We start from the raw sequence: 14,724 nt of genomic DNA on the forward strand, positions 1-14,724 counted from the left end.
CAGGACAAATAACCTAAAGAGGAGGGAATGAAGAGCAGTGAGAGGCCTGACAGTGGGAAAACAATGCCTCTCGGGTTGGAAGGCAGAAAGCCAAAAATGCGAAAGATACAAATGGGTACGAAGATTGGAGTAAGAAAAAAGCTCCTTGGAAACAGGAGAGACATGATTATCTCAAAGAGAAAGCGAGAGGCATGTTTGGAATCTGAAGCTGAAAACACTCAAAAGACAGATACACAGATTGACCAGAGGCTTCAGAGATAGGCATGAGTTGAATGACATGTGCAGACAGCACAGCAGGATGAGCACTGCACGGTGAATGTGAGGCTGAAATACTCAGAATCATGATGAAAGAAAAACACAAACCAGGTACACTAAGGCAAAGCTGGGTGAGACAGTCCAGGAGACAAGTCATACAGCTTTGTCATGGCACAACAAGACGCAAATAGGTGAGACCTAAGGGAGGAGAAAAAAATCTCAGGTGATGGCTACATGGGCATTTTTATTTACTTATTTTTATTTATTTATTTATTTTATTTTTTAGACAGTCTCGCTGTGTCGCCCAGGCTGGAGTGCAGTGGTGCGACCTAGGCTCACTGCAACCTCTGGTTCCTGGGTTCAAGCGATTCTCCTGCCTCGGCCTCAGCCTCCTGAGTAGCGTGAACCACCTCACCTGGCTGATTGTTGTATTTTTAGCAGAGACAGAGTTTCACCATGTTGTCCAGGCTGATCTTGAACTCCAACCTCAGTGATCCACCCACCTCAGCCTGCCAAAGTGCTGGGATTACAGGTGTGAGCCACTGCGCCCGGCCACATGGGCATTTTTTAAATGCCTATTAGGGGCGAGTGAAGCTGGTTCTGGAGAAGGGATCTCTGGGAAATAGTGAATTATATACCTTAGACAAAGAGGCTGGAGAACAGTGAACCAACTATGAAGTGAGAGAAAAATGCCATGAACTCCCAATCTGCTATAAAGAAACATACATCTGGCCTGGTGTGGGGCCCATGTGTGTCATCCCAGCACTTGGGAGGTCAAGGCCGGAGGATGGCTTGAGCCCAGGAGTTTGAGACCAGCTTCGGCAACATCAGGAGATCCCATCTCTACAAATAACTTTTTAAAAAATTAGCTGGGCATAGTGGTGCGCACCTGTGGTCCCAGCTGCTTGGCAGACTGAGGAAGGAGGATCACCTGAGCCCAGGAGTTGAGGCTGCAATAAGCCCTGATGCAGCACTGCACTCCAGCCTGGGCAACAGAGCCAAGACCCTGTCTCAAAAAAAAAAAAACCCACAGGAGAAACAGATGTCTAAATTCAGTAGCAAAGGTTGCAGCAAACTTGAAGTCCTAAGTTAGGGTAAAGAGATGAAGAGGAAATGACAAGAATTTCTTGGAAAGCAACTTAGAGACCCATCTGGGGCTTCAGTGTTACTAATTCTGAAAGAAAGCAAACGAAAAAGTGGAAGACTGCAGCAGATCTAAAGAACTAACAGGACAGAATACTCCACCCATTCAGGTAGAAAAAGACAAAACAAGACCCCATTATTCAGAAGAAAATAGCTGCAGCAGGAATGAAATGTACAGATAGTCCCTGACTTGGCAGTGGTTTGACTTAGGATTTCTTGACTGTGATGGTATGAAAGTGATACACATTCAGTAGAAAGTGTATTTCGCATACCCATACAGCAATTCTGTTTGTTTGTTTGTTTGTTTGTTTTTTGAGACAGTCTCGCTCTGTCACCCAGGCTGGAGTGCAGTCGTGTGATATCGGCTCACTGCAACCTCTGCCCAGCTAATTTTTGTATTTTTAGTCAAAACAGGGTTTCGCCATGTTGGCCAGGCTGGTCTTGAACTGGCTTCATGTGATCTGCTTGCCTTGGCCTCCCAGAGTGCTGGGATTACAGGCGTGAACCACCATACCCAGCCTCAACATATTTTCAATAGGTGATGGGTCATTATGAAAAAAGGACACTGAAGCTAATGTAACACTGAAATGGTCTCAAGAAACAGGAAACTATAGACATGTTTTAGAATATCCAATACATGGCAAGACCAAAATATGAAACCTATCCTTTTCATGTATTGTTTGGGACTGACTCATATTTGTACTCTTTGTATTGCTAATTTACATAGCTGTTTAAAAGATCACATTCATACTAATGATATGCAATGATACATTTTATTGAGCCAAGAGTAAGGTAGAACAGAACAGCCCAGGGCAATGAGGATGGGGCAAGGAGGCAGGAGTAGAAAACAGCCCCCAAAAGAAAGGCAAGATGTCACGTGTATATAACTTACAATTCTATAAGTGAAGAGCTATGGTTCTGAAACTTTTGCTTAACTCCTTGCCTTAATTTTTTATCCCTCCAATATATATTTTCCCTCTGAATTTTGATTATATATTGATCACAGCTAACATTGAGAAATAAAGTAAGTAAAGTTTTTATTTCCCTTAGATAATGTTAATTCAAGACTCTCGAAGAGAAGCTTCAGTGCAGATGGATTTGAGATGCTACAAAACCCAGTAAAAGATTCAAAAGAAATGTTTCAAACCTACAAACAGATGTACCTGGAGAAGAGAAGCAGAAGCCTTGGTAGCAGTCCTGTAAAATAATTACAAGATGTGGTTTTGTAATTGCCACTGGGAAATTTCTTTCCTTTTCTGTTCAAAATATTTCGCTGAAACTAATGAGAAATGCCATGATAAAGATTTCTCAGAGTTTGGTTCCCACTTTCATTGTATTTCATTGAAAGTGCTTAATTAAAATGGCTTGAGAACTTTGGGTAGCCATGTGTAAGAAATGGATGGTATTCACCGGGGAAACAAGGTATTTGAATTTCTACTTTATTGAACCAGATTTACCATTATTTTAAAAGGAATGCTTATACAAATCAATTTGAAATTCTACCCATCTTGAGGGAGGACCGTTCCTCAGTTAAGGACTTGTTTATTTAAATGGGACTGTAAATATGTTTTGGTTTCTAAGCTATATTAGCAAAATTTATTTTTCAAAAATGCCCACTGTGATGTGAATGTCAAAATATATTCTTAAGTGTTTTATAACTAATTGTAAACTTTTTTTCAGAAGTCTTATTTTATACTTGTGAAACTGAACACAATTTTGGGACAACGTTTAAACATTACTTTTCATACTTGAAATAAACATTTATTTTTTAAAAAACTAATTTGAAACCTTCACAGCTCAGTTTCTTTTTGGTTTCCTACCTTTAAAAGGACGCATTTTGGAAAGTGCTTTCAAAAGCTGAAATGCGAGGTGGCTTATGCCTGTAATCACAGCACCTTGGGAGGCTGAGGCGGGCGGATCACAAGGTCAGGAGATGGAGACCATCCTGGCTAACACGGTGAAACGCCGTCTCTACTTAAAAAAAAATACAAAAAATTACCAGGACAAGGTGGGAGGCACCTGTAGTCCCAGCTACTCGGGAGGCTGAGGCAGGAGAATGGCGTGAACCCGGGAGGCAGAGCTTGCAGTGCGCCGAGATCGCGCCACTGCACTCCAGCCTGGGCGACAGAGCCAGACTCCTTCTCAAAAAAAAAAAAAAAAAAAAGCTGAAATGTCACAGCAGTTGTGCCAGTAGGTATTTTTAGATTGCGTTCACATGAGAACACAAAAAAATTTACTAGGTTCAGGAAATTTCAAGAAACTGGAAGGCAAGATATAACTTTATTTCTAGTTTTACTTTATGACTACGAGAAAAGGGTTGGAGTTTTTGTTTTGAGACAGGGTCTCACTCTGTCGTCAAGGCTGGAGTACTGCGGTGTAGGATGAATGTTCACTGCAATCACTGCTCCTGGGTTTAAATAATCTTCCCGTCTCTGCCTCATGAGTAGCTGGGACTACAGTGTGCTAATACACCTGGCTAATTTAAAAAAAAATTATTTAATTTGCTAATCTTTGTATTCTAGTGTGCTGCCAAAGTGAGCACATAATTTTGTTTTTTTGTTTGTTTGTTTTTGTTTCTTAATGTTTGGAGAATTTTTGTGGTTTTTTTGTTTGTTCTTTGAGACGTACTCCCGCCCTGTTACCCAGGCTGGAGTGCAATTGCGCGATCTGGGCTCACTGCAACCTCCGCCTCCCGGGTTCAAGCGATTCTCCTGCCTCAGCCTCCAGAGTAGCTGGGATTACAGGCGCCCGCCACCACGCCCAGCTAATTTTTGTATTTTTAGTATAGATGGGGTTTCACCGTGTTGGTCAGGCTGGTCTCGAACTCCTGACCTCAGGTGATCCGCCCACCCCAGCTTCCCAAAGTGCTGGGATTACAAGCATGAGCTACTGGGTCCAGCCTGTTTGTTTTTTTTTGAGACGGAGGCTTGCTCTGTCGCCAAGGCTGGAGTGCAGTGACGCCATCTTGGCTCATTGCAACCTCCGCCTCCCGGGTTCAAGGATTCTCCTGCCGAATAGCTGGAATCACAGGTGCCCGCCACCACGCCCAGCTAATTTTTGTATTTTTAGTAGAGACGGGGTTTCACCATGTTGGTCGTCAGGATGGTCTTGAACTCCTGACCTCGTGATCTGCCTGCCTCAGCCTCCCAAAGTGCTGGGATTACAGGCGTGAGCCATCTTGCCCAACCCTGAGCACATAATTTAAAAATACATACATTTTTGGAGACATGAGATTCTACCCTGTTGTCCAGACTGGTCTTGAACTCCTGGGCTCAAGTAATCCTTTGGCCTTGGCCTCCCAAAGTCCTGGGATTACAGATGTGAGCTACCACGCCCAGAGCATGTTGGTTATTTTTATAAAATCTTAATGTTGTATATATATATATAAAATTTTCATTTGAAAACTATGTACAAGGTAGACCAATGGATTTTAATGAAACATTGCAATTTTTTGTGCTTTTAGCTTTCATATTACAACCAACCTTTAGGAAACAACTACGGTCCTCTGTCATTTAATGACAGGGATATGTTCTGAGAAATACATCTCTAGGTGATTTTTTTTTTTTTTTTTAAATGGAGTCTCATTCTTTTGCCCAGGCTGGAGTGCAGTAGCACGATCTCCACTCACTGCAACTTCCGCCTCCTGGGCTCCAGCAATTTTGCTTCAGCCTCCCGAGTAGCTGGGATTACAGGCACACACCACCATGCCTTGCTAAAGTATTTTTAGTAGAGACAGAGTTTCACCATGTTGGCCAGGCTGGTCTTGAACTCCTGACCTCAAGTGATCTGCCCGCCTCAGCCTCCCAAAGTGCTGGGATTACAGACATGAGCCACCACGCCCAGCCTACTTCATTTTTTAAATAGTAAAAATCTATAAATATTGTCATGCCAAAATAAAAGATTGATTCACCTCAGGTGATCTGCCTGCCTTGGCCTCCCAAAGTGCTGGGATTACAGGTATGAGCCACTGCACCTGGCCAATTTTGGTCTTGTGTGACTATCCTAGAATGTACTAGGTTTGTGTAAACCTAGATGGTACAGGTTGAATATCCTAAATCTAAAATCCAGAGCTGGGCACAGTGGCTCATGCCCGTAAACCCCAGCACTTTGGGAGGCCAAGGCGGGCAGACCACCTGAGGTCAGGAGTTCCAAGACCAGCCTGACCAACATGGTGAAACCCCATCTCTACTAAAAATACACAATTAGCATGGTGTGGTGGCAGATCCCTGTAATCCCAGCTACTTAGGAGGTTGACGCAAGAGAATTGGTTGAACCCCGGAGGCGGAGGTTGCAGCGAGTCGAGATCACGCCATTGCACTCCAGCCTGGGCAACACAAGCAAAACTCTGTCTCAAAAAAAGAATAAAATCCAAAATGTTCCAAAATCTGAAACTTTGAATGCCAATGTGATACTCAAAGGAAATACTCATTTGAGCATTTTGGATTTTGCATCCTTGGATTAAGGATGCTTAGGTGGTGAGTATAATGCAAATATTCCAAGATCCAAAAATATCTGAAATATTTTCAGTCCCAAGTATCTCTAATAAGGTGTAGTCAACCTAGATGTCCTACTGCATACCTAATCACTATGGTGTATCTTATTGCTTATAGGCTACAAATGTGGACATCATGTTACTGTACTGAATGCTGTAGGGAATTATAACAATAGTTAAGTATTTGGGTCTTCAAGCATAGAAAAGCTACTGTAAAAATGCAGTATAAAAAAAAATGATGCCGGGCACAGTGGCTCACACCTGTAAACCCAGCACTTTGGTAGGCCAAGGCGGGTGGATCACCTGAGGTCAGGAGTTCGAGACCAGCCTGGCCAATATGGTGAAACCTCTGCTCTCCTAAAAATACAAAAATTAGCTGGGTGTGTTGGCGCATGCCTGTAATCCCAGCTACTTGGGAGGCTGAGGCAGGAGAATCACTTGAGCCTGGGAGGTGGAGGTTGCAGTGAGCTGACGTTGTGCCACTGCACTCCAGGTTGGGCTACATGAACAAAACTCCATCTTAATGAATGAATGATGTACCTGTATTGGGCACTTAATATGAACCATGAATAGCGCTTGCAGGACTGGAAGTTGCTTGCAAGTCAGTGAATTGGTCTGAGCAAGTGAATGTGAAGGCCTAAGACATTACTGTATACTACTATCAACTTTATGAACACTGTACACTTAGGCGACCCTAAATTTATTTTTATTTTTTACTGCAAAACGGGGTCTCTGTTACCCAGGTTGAAATGCAGTGCTGTAGTCTCAGCTTGCTGAAACCTCCGCCTCCCTGTTTCAAGCAGTCCTCCCACATCAGCCTCCAGGGTAGCTGGGAACACAGGCACGATCCAGCATGTCCAGCTAATTTTTAGTAACTAAATTTATTCTTTAAAACTTAAATAGAATTTAGCTTATGGTAACTATATTAACTTTTTAAACTTTTAACTTAATTTTAATTTTGGTTTTGGTTGTTTTTTTGTTTTTTTTAGACGGAGTTTTGCTCTGCCTCCCATACAGGCTGGAGTGCCGTGGCACAATCTTAGCTCACTGCAACCTCTGCCTCCCAGGCTCAAGCTATTCTCCTGCCTCAGCCTCCCAAGTAGCTGCGATTAACAGGTATGTGCCACCACGCCCAGCTAATTTTTGTATTTTAACTAAAGATAGTTTCACCATGTTGGCCAAGCTGGTCTCGAACTCCTGACCTCAGGTGATCCACCTATCTCAGCCTCCCAAAGTGCTGGGATTACAGGCATGGGCCACTGCATCAGGCCATTAATTGTAATTTTTTTTATTCATTTCAAGACAGGGTTAAGAAACTGCTAATTTTGTATTTCTGGTAGAGACAGGGTTTTGCCATGTTTCCCAAAACAGTCTCAAACTCATGGGCTGAAGCAATCCTCCCGCCTGGGCCTCCCATAATAAAGTGCTGGGATTACAGGTGTTAGCCACTGTGCCCAGCCGCCAAATTTTTAGCTTTTTAACTCGTAATAACATGGCTTAAAACACAAGCACACTGTAGAGCTGTACAAACTTTTTTTTTGAGACAGAGCCTTGCTCTGTCACCTAGGCTTGAGTGTACTGGCGTGATCTTGGCTCACTGCAACCTCCACCTCCTGGGTTCAAGTGATTCTCCTGTCTCAGCCTCCTGAGTAGCTGGTATTACAGGCATCTGCCACCACGCCCAGGTAATTTTTGTATTTTTAGTAGAGATGGGGTTTCACCGTGTTGGCCAGGCTGGTCTCGAACTCCTGATCTCAGGTGGTCTGCCCGCCTCGGCCTCCTAGTGCTGGGATTACAGGTGTGAGCCACCACACCCAGCCTTTTCAAAATTTTCTTTATACTTTTTGTATAAGCTCTTTTTTATTAAATTTTTTTTTAACTTTTTTTCAAATTGAAAACTAAAAGATGGGCACAGTGGCTCACCAAGGTCAGGAGATGACTGGACACAGTGCCTCATGCCTGTAATCCCAGCACTTTGGTGGGCCAAGGTGAGCAGTATTGCTTGAGTCCAAGAGTTCAAGACCAGTACAACATGCTGAAACCCGGTCTCTACCAAAAGTACAAAAATTAGCCAGGTTTGGTGGTGTGCACCTGTAATGCCAGCTACTTGGGAGGCTGAGGTGGGAGGATTACTTCAGCCCTGTCTCCACCCCCCCCCCCAACCAAAAAAAAAAAAAAACAGAACCAGGAAAACATTAACCTTGGCTTCCACGTAGTCAGGATCATCAGTATCACTTGTCTTCCTCCTCTACATCTTGCCCCATTGGAAGGTCACCAAGGGCAGTAACACGCATGGAGCTGTCATCTCCTGTGATAACAGTGCCTTCTGGAACACCTGAAGGACCTGGCTGAGGCTGTTTTATAGTTTTTGTTTTGTTTTGTTTTTGAGACGGAGCCCCGCTTTGTCGCACAGGCTGGAGTGCAGTGGCGCAGTCTTGGCTTGCCGCAACCTATGCCTCCCAGGTTCAGGCAATTCTCCTGCTTCAGCCTCCCGAGTAGCTGGGACAACAGGTGTGAGCCACCGCACCCAAGCCTATTTTTTAATTTATTTAAATTTAAAAATATTTTTTAGTTTTTTAAAAAGTAGGAAGCTGGGCACAGTGGCTCACGCCTGTAATCCCAACACTTTGAGAGGCCGAGGCAGGCGAATCACGAGGTCAGGAGATTGAGACCATTCTGGCCAACATGGTGAAACCCCATCTCTACTAAAAGTACAAAAAATTAGCTGGGCATGGTGGTGTATGCCTGTAGTCCCAGCTACTCGGGAGGCTGAGGTAGAAGGATCACTTGAACCCAGGAGGCGGAGGTTGCAGCGAGCTATCACACCACTACACTCCAGCCTGGCGACAGAGTGAGACTTCGTCTAAAAAAAAAATAAGTAGGAATAAATTAACCTACATAAAAAGCATAACATACTAAACACAAACCAGTAACAGTCATTTATCATTGTCAAGTATTATGTACTGTATATATTTTTAAGTCAGATTTGTAAAAATATAAAACTGCCAATCTTTTCTCATTCTCCTGGTAAGTATTTTTCATAAACATTTATTTGGCTGGGTGCAGTGGCTCACGCCTGTAATCCCAACACTTTGGGAGGCCGAGCTGGGTGGATCACCTAAGGTCAGAGGTTTGAGACTAGCCTGGCCAAAATGGTGAAACCCTGTCCCTACTAAAAATACAAACATTGGTGGGCTCGGTGGCTCATGCCTGTAATCCCAGCACTTTGGGAGGCCAAGGCTGGTGAATCACGAGGTCAGGAGTTCGAGACCAGCCTGGCCAACATGGTGAAACCCCGTCTCTACTAAAAATACAAAAATTAGCTGGGCGTGGTGGCTTGGGCCTGTAGTCCCAGCTACTCAGGAGGCAGAGGTTGCAGTGAGTCAAGATCAAGCCACTGCACTCCAGCCTGGGCGACAGAGTGAGACTGTCTCAAAAAAACAAACAAAAATACAAAAGTTAACTGGGTGTGATGGCACGTGCCTGTAGTCTCAGCTGCTCAGGAGTCTGAGGCAGAGGTTGTAGTGAGCTGAGACTGCGCGCCACTGCACTCCAGCCTGGGAGACAGTGAGACTCAGTCTCAAAAAAAAAAAATTATATGAATGTAATGGGTTCATCATTTTAAAATGAAGTATCTTCAAAATTTGTTTCAAGTTCTCATGGAATCGATATTGATAAATATATCTTGGTATTCTTCAGTTTTTAAGGTTGTAAAAATAAATACTTTTTTGGAGATAGGGTCTCTCTCACCCAGGCTGGGGTGCAGTGGTGCGATCTTGGCTCACTGCAACCCCTGCCTCCTGGGCTTGGACAGTCCTCCCACTCTAGCCGCACAAGTAGCTGGGACCACAGGCCCATGCCACTGGCCTGCTAATTTTTGTATTTTGGGAGTTTTTTTGTAGATAATAGGGTTTCGCCATGTTGCCCAGGATGGTGAACTCCTGGGCTCAAGCAATCTGCCCACCTCAGCCTCTCGAAGTGTTGGGATTACAGGGGTGAGCCGCTATGCCCGGTCCCAAAGTCAGTCTCTAACCTAATCTCTGAAATGATGTGTCAATTTTGCTACTTTCTATTTGCTAGAAGTGAGTCACAGAATTCCAGCCCATACTCAAGGGGGTTATCCAAGGGCATAAATATTAGGAAATGTGCTTTTTAAAAGTTTCTGGAGGCTGGGTGGCGTGGCTTACGCCTGTAACCCCAGCACTTTGGGAGGCTGAGGTGGGTAGATTACCTGAGGTCAGGAGTTTTGAGACCAGCCTGGCCAACATGGCAAAACCTTGTGTCTACTAAAAATACAAAAATTAGCCAGGCACGGCTGGGCACGGTGGCTCAATCCCAGCACTTTGGGAGGCTGAGACAGGCGGATCATGAGGTCAGAAGATGGAGACCATCCTGGCTCATATGGTGAAACCCCGTCTCTACTAAAAAATGTAAAAAAAAAAAAAATTAGCCAGGTGTGGTGGTGGGCGCCTGTAGCCCCAGCTACTCGGGAGGCTGAGGCAGGAGAATGGTGTGAACCCGGGAGGCAGAGCTTGCAATGAGCCAAGATCGCGCCACTGCCCTCCAGCCTGGGCGAGAGAGTGAGACTCTGTCTCAAAAAAATAAAAATGTGTATCTCTGTCATTGGGATTCCTATAAGCTTGTGCCTAGACAGGATAGTTATTTTATCTTTAAGACCCTGTTAAAGCCTGCCTGAGGTCTTATCTGCATTCCCCTGTGGGCTGACTCAGCACCTGGTTGCCTTGTATTCTCCTGATTATGAATCTTTCAACCTCTAGGACATGGACCATTAACGTTTAGTATACTTGGCTGTAGCTACTTTAAGCTTAGATATCTGCCTTCGAATATTCTACCTTTTTTAAAATAAAATATAAATGTCTAGTGATTCTTTCGTTGTTGTTTTTATTTTTTGGAGACACGGTCTTGCTGTGCCACCCAGACTCGAGTGCAATGGTGTGGTCACAGCTCACTGCAGCCTTGACCTTCTGGGCTCAAGTGATCCTCCCACCTCAGCCTCCTGAGTAGCTGGGACTGCAGGCGTGCACCACCATCCTTGGATAATTTTTTATTTTTTAGAGAAATGAGGTCTCCCTGTGTTGCCCAGTCTGGTCAGGCTCAAGCAATCCTCCCATGTCAGCTTCCCAAAGTGCTGGATTACAAGCATAAGCCACCATGCCTGGCTGTATCCTGCTTTCTGTTATAATAGAGTGGATTTTGTCATCTTGATAGCCCACACAACGTTGGTCCGTTTCTTTGATGATATTATGCTAATTGGACCTGACAAGCAGAAAATAATAAACATCCTACAAGACTTAATAAAACACATGCATGACGGGATGGGAAGGAAATCTTGAATAAAAATTCATGATTGACCACATTCGTAAGGTTTTTAGGGTCTGATTGTAGTCTTGTGTATATTGTACCATCTACCACAAAGAGAAATGTTTGATGAGCCTGTGTGAAGTTTGGAGGGAACATACACCATCTATGGACATGCCACCTTATGGACGTGTCACCCTAAGCAATTTATCAGGTAACACACACACAGCTCTAATTTCTTTTTTTTTTGAGATGGAGTCTCGCTCTCTCGCCCAGGCTGGAGTGCAGTGGCCCCATCTCAGCTCACTGCAAGCTCCGCCTCCTGGGTTCACGCCATTCTCCTGCCTTGGCCTCCTGAGTAGCTGGGGCTACAGGCACCCGCCACCACACCCAGCTAATTTTTTTGTATTTTTTAGTAGAGACGGGGTTTCACCATGTTAGCCAGGATGGTCTCGACCTCCTGAGTTCGTGATCTGCCCGCCTCGGCCTCCCAAAGTGCTGGGATTACAGGTGTGAGCCACCGCACCCGGCCCACACAGCTCTAATTTTATGTGAGGCCTCAAGCAAGCAAAGGCTCCACAGCAGGACCAGGCTGTGGTGCAAGCTGCCCTGCCCCTTGGGCCTAATGGCCCAGCAGGCCCAATGGTACAGGGAATTTCTACTGTGTGTGAAACCTCTTGCTTTTAGGAGAATCCTAGTAAACCCCCTATGACCTTTTCTGACAAGTACATTCCATTTGAACACAAATTGTAAAACCTGAACTGTTGATGAATTTGATGTCATCTGATTCCAAAAACCATAAAATTTGACTCATGCAGCAGCATTTCATTGTTAAATGAAAATGTATATGTAAGACTAGCCCAAGCAGTTCCTGAGGACACAATTAAAACATACAAGCGGCCGGGCACGGTGGCTCACGCCTGTAATCCCAGCACTTTGGGAGGCTGAGGTGGGCGGATCACGAGGTCAGGAGATGGAGACCACCCTGGCTAACCCAGTGAAACCCTGTCTCTACTAAAACTACAAAAAAATTAGCCGGGCATGGTGGCGGGCGCCTGTAGTCCCAGCTACTCGGGAGGCTGAGGCAGGAGAATGGCGTGAACCTGGGAGGCGGAGGTGGCAGTGAGCCGAGATCGTGCCACTGCACTCCAGCGTGGGCGACACAGCAAGACTCCATCTCAAAAAAAAAAAAAAAAAAAAAATCAAGTAGCTTGCTCGGGGTTCCATAACACCTCTTCCTTCTGTTTCTCTGGCTTTCCCTCAGTCCACATATAAGGCTTCATGAGAGAAGACACGAATGGATATAAACCAATGGGAATAAACCAAGACAAGTCCTGGTTTATGAATTGGTCTGCACAGTATGCTGGCTCCAGCTGGAAGTATTACATAGCCTCACTTAGAGATGACCCTAAGAGACAGTGATAAAGCCAACCTCATATCTTGCTACCAGAAGCACATGAGAATAATTCTTTTAAGAGGCTTTAAAATCCCAGCTACTCAGGAGGGTGAAGTGGGAGGATCCCTTGAGCATCGGAGCTTGAGACCAGCCTGGACAACATAGTAGGACACTGCCTCAATAAAAAATTAAGTAAATAAATAGATAGCTTTTGAGTTATCTATACTGTGATATAATACACCACACCCTTTACAAGAGCAAATTCTGGGGCATGATTAAATGAAAAGCAAAGGTAGTACTTCATAGCATCTGCAAACTGGCATAGTGCAGACAGGCAAAAAGCAATGGTAAATAACTACTGGAACATATGTAGAAAATGTCCTGTTTGGCATCTACTGCAGAGTAGGCTCTCAATCAGATGGGTAAGATAGCTAGTCCTATGGATGTCAGCCTTTTTCCCCAGCCACCCTGGTGCTTAATAGGCCCATTTATAAAGTGCCATGGCAACAAGAAAGGAGGTCTGCATGGACTTCTCACTGAGGCTTCTCTGCCCATGCACCAAGAGTCAAGGCTATGCTGGGCCCCTGACTGATCACACCATTCTCCAGGGAACCAATGAGCCTCTTGGTGGTAGATTGATACATTGGACCCTTTCTACACAGAAGGAGAAGCAATTTGTGCCTTTGGGAATAGAAACATTCCAAATATGAATTTGCCTGCCAGAAATGGTCCTGCTGGCACTAAGCAGAAGGCCTATTCATTGCTGTGATATTCCATACAAATCACTAAGCAACCTGTCTACAGTGAAGGACACGATGAGAGAGAATTACACTGATACAATTTACTAGCACTACCACAAGCCCCAAGGACCCAGAAGCATCTGACTTGACAAAATGGCAGAATGCCTGCTAACAGCTTAGTTACTACATTAGCTGGAGAAAATTAGCTGGAGGATTAGAAGGCTGTCTTACAGAATGAATATATGACTTAAGCCAGTAGCTAATATTTGGTGACGTCTCCCGCATAGCCAAATACCGCATGAACCGAATAACCAAGGGGTGGAGGTTTGGAATGGCCCCTTTCACTTTTTCCCTTTTTATTTTAATTTATTTATTTGAGGAGTTGCTGTGTTACCCAGGCTGGAGTGCAGTGGTGTGAGCACAGCTCACTGCAACCTCAACCTCCCAGGCTCAAGTAATCCTCCCACCTCAGCCTCCCAAGTAGCTGGGACTACAAACATGCGCCACCACCCCCAGCTTATTTTTGTGGTTTTAGTAGAGAAGGGGTCTCACTATGTTGCCCAGGCTGGTCTCCTACTCCTGGGTTCAAGCAATCAACCTGCCTTGGCCTCCCAAAGTGCTTGGATTACAGGTGTGTGCCACTGCACCCAGCCAACATTTTCCCTTTTTAAAGAAAAGAAACATAATTCAGACATACATATAAAGCATACAATTCAGTGATATTTTTTAGTATATTTATAAAGTTGTACAACCATCAACACTATCTAATTTCAGCAGATTTTCATCATCTCCAAAAGAAACTCCATATCCATTAGCAGTTCACTTTCCATTCACACCACCCTACCCCTAGCACCTGACAACCACTAAGCTACTTTCTGTCTCTATCAATTTACATATTCTGTGCATTTTATATTAATAAAATCATGTAATATGTGACCTTTTGCATCTGGCTCTTTTCATTTAGCATAATGTTTTCAAGGCTTATCTGTGTTGTAGTATGTATCAATATTTCATTCCTTTTGGCCAGGCATGGCAGCTAACGCCTGTAATCCCAGCACTTTGGGAGGCCGAGGTGGGAGGATCACCTGAGGCCAGGAGTTCAAGACCAGCCTGGCCAGCATGGTGAAACCCTGTCTCTACTAAAAATACACAATTAGCCAGGAATGGTGGCACATGCCTGTAATCCCAGCTACTCAGGAAGCTAAGGCAGGAGAATCACTTGAACTCGGGAGGTAGAGGTTGCAGTGAGCCGAGATAGCGCCATTGCACTCCAGCCTGGCGACAGAGTGAGACTCCCTCTCAAAAAAAAAAAAAAAAAAGAAAAGAAAAGAAAACACAACTTCTTCCTTTGCTATGCTGAGGGCCTACTGATGGGCAAG

The 14,724-nt window shown here is 44.5% G+C and overlaps 1 protein-coding gene across 4 annotated transcripts in view, besides 1 other annotated feature; it reads left to right on the forward strand.

Moving 5' to 3' along the window:
• RESF1 (retroelement silencing factor 1) overlaps positions 1-3,178 on the forward strand; it is a 33,693-nt gene extending 30,515 nt beyond the window's left edge. For all 4 annotated transcript variants that reach the window (XM_011520722.2, XM_017019550.3, NM_018169.4 and 1 more), the window contains one exon: positions 2,449-3,178. In XM_011520722.2, the coding sequence (XP_011519024.1) occupies positions 2,449-2,606 (158 nt within the window). In that variant the 3' untranslated portion in view covers positions 2,607-3,178. The remainder of the gene's footprint in view (positions 1-2,448) is intronic.
• Positions 3,959-4,123: a silencer, noted in NCBI's record as "fragment chr12:32146822-32146986 (GRCh37/hg19 assembly coordinates)". NCBI's record gives its function as "represses an EF-1alpha promoter that drives an FKBP-Casp9 reporter gene in an ReSE screen in HepG2 liver carcinoma cells {active_cell/tissue: HepG2}" and the evidence as "EXISTENCE:reporter gene assay evidence [ECO:0000049][PMID:32094911]".

The sequence above is a fragment of the Homo sapiens genome, chromosome 12, assembly GCF_000001405.40.
Source record: "Homo sapiens chromosome 12, GRCh38.p14 Primary Assembly".
Classification (NCBI taxonomy): Eukaryota; Metazoa; Chordata; class Mammalia; order Primates; family Hominidae; genus Homo; species Homo sapiens.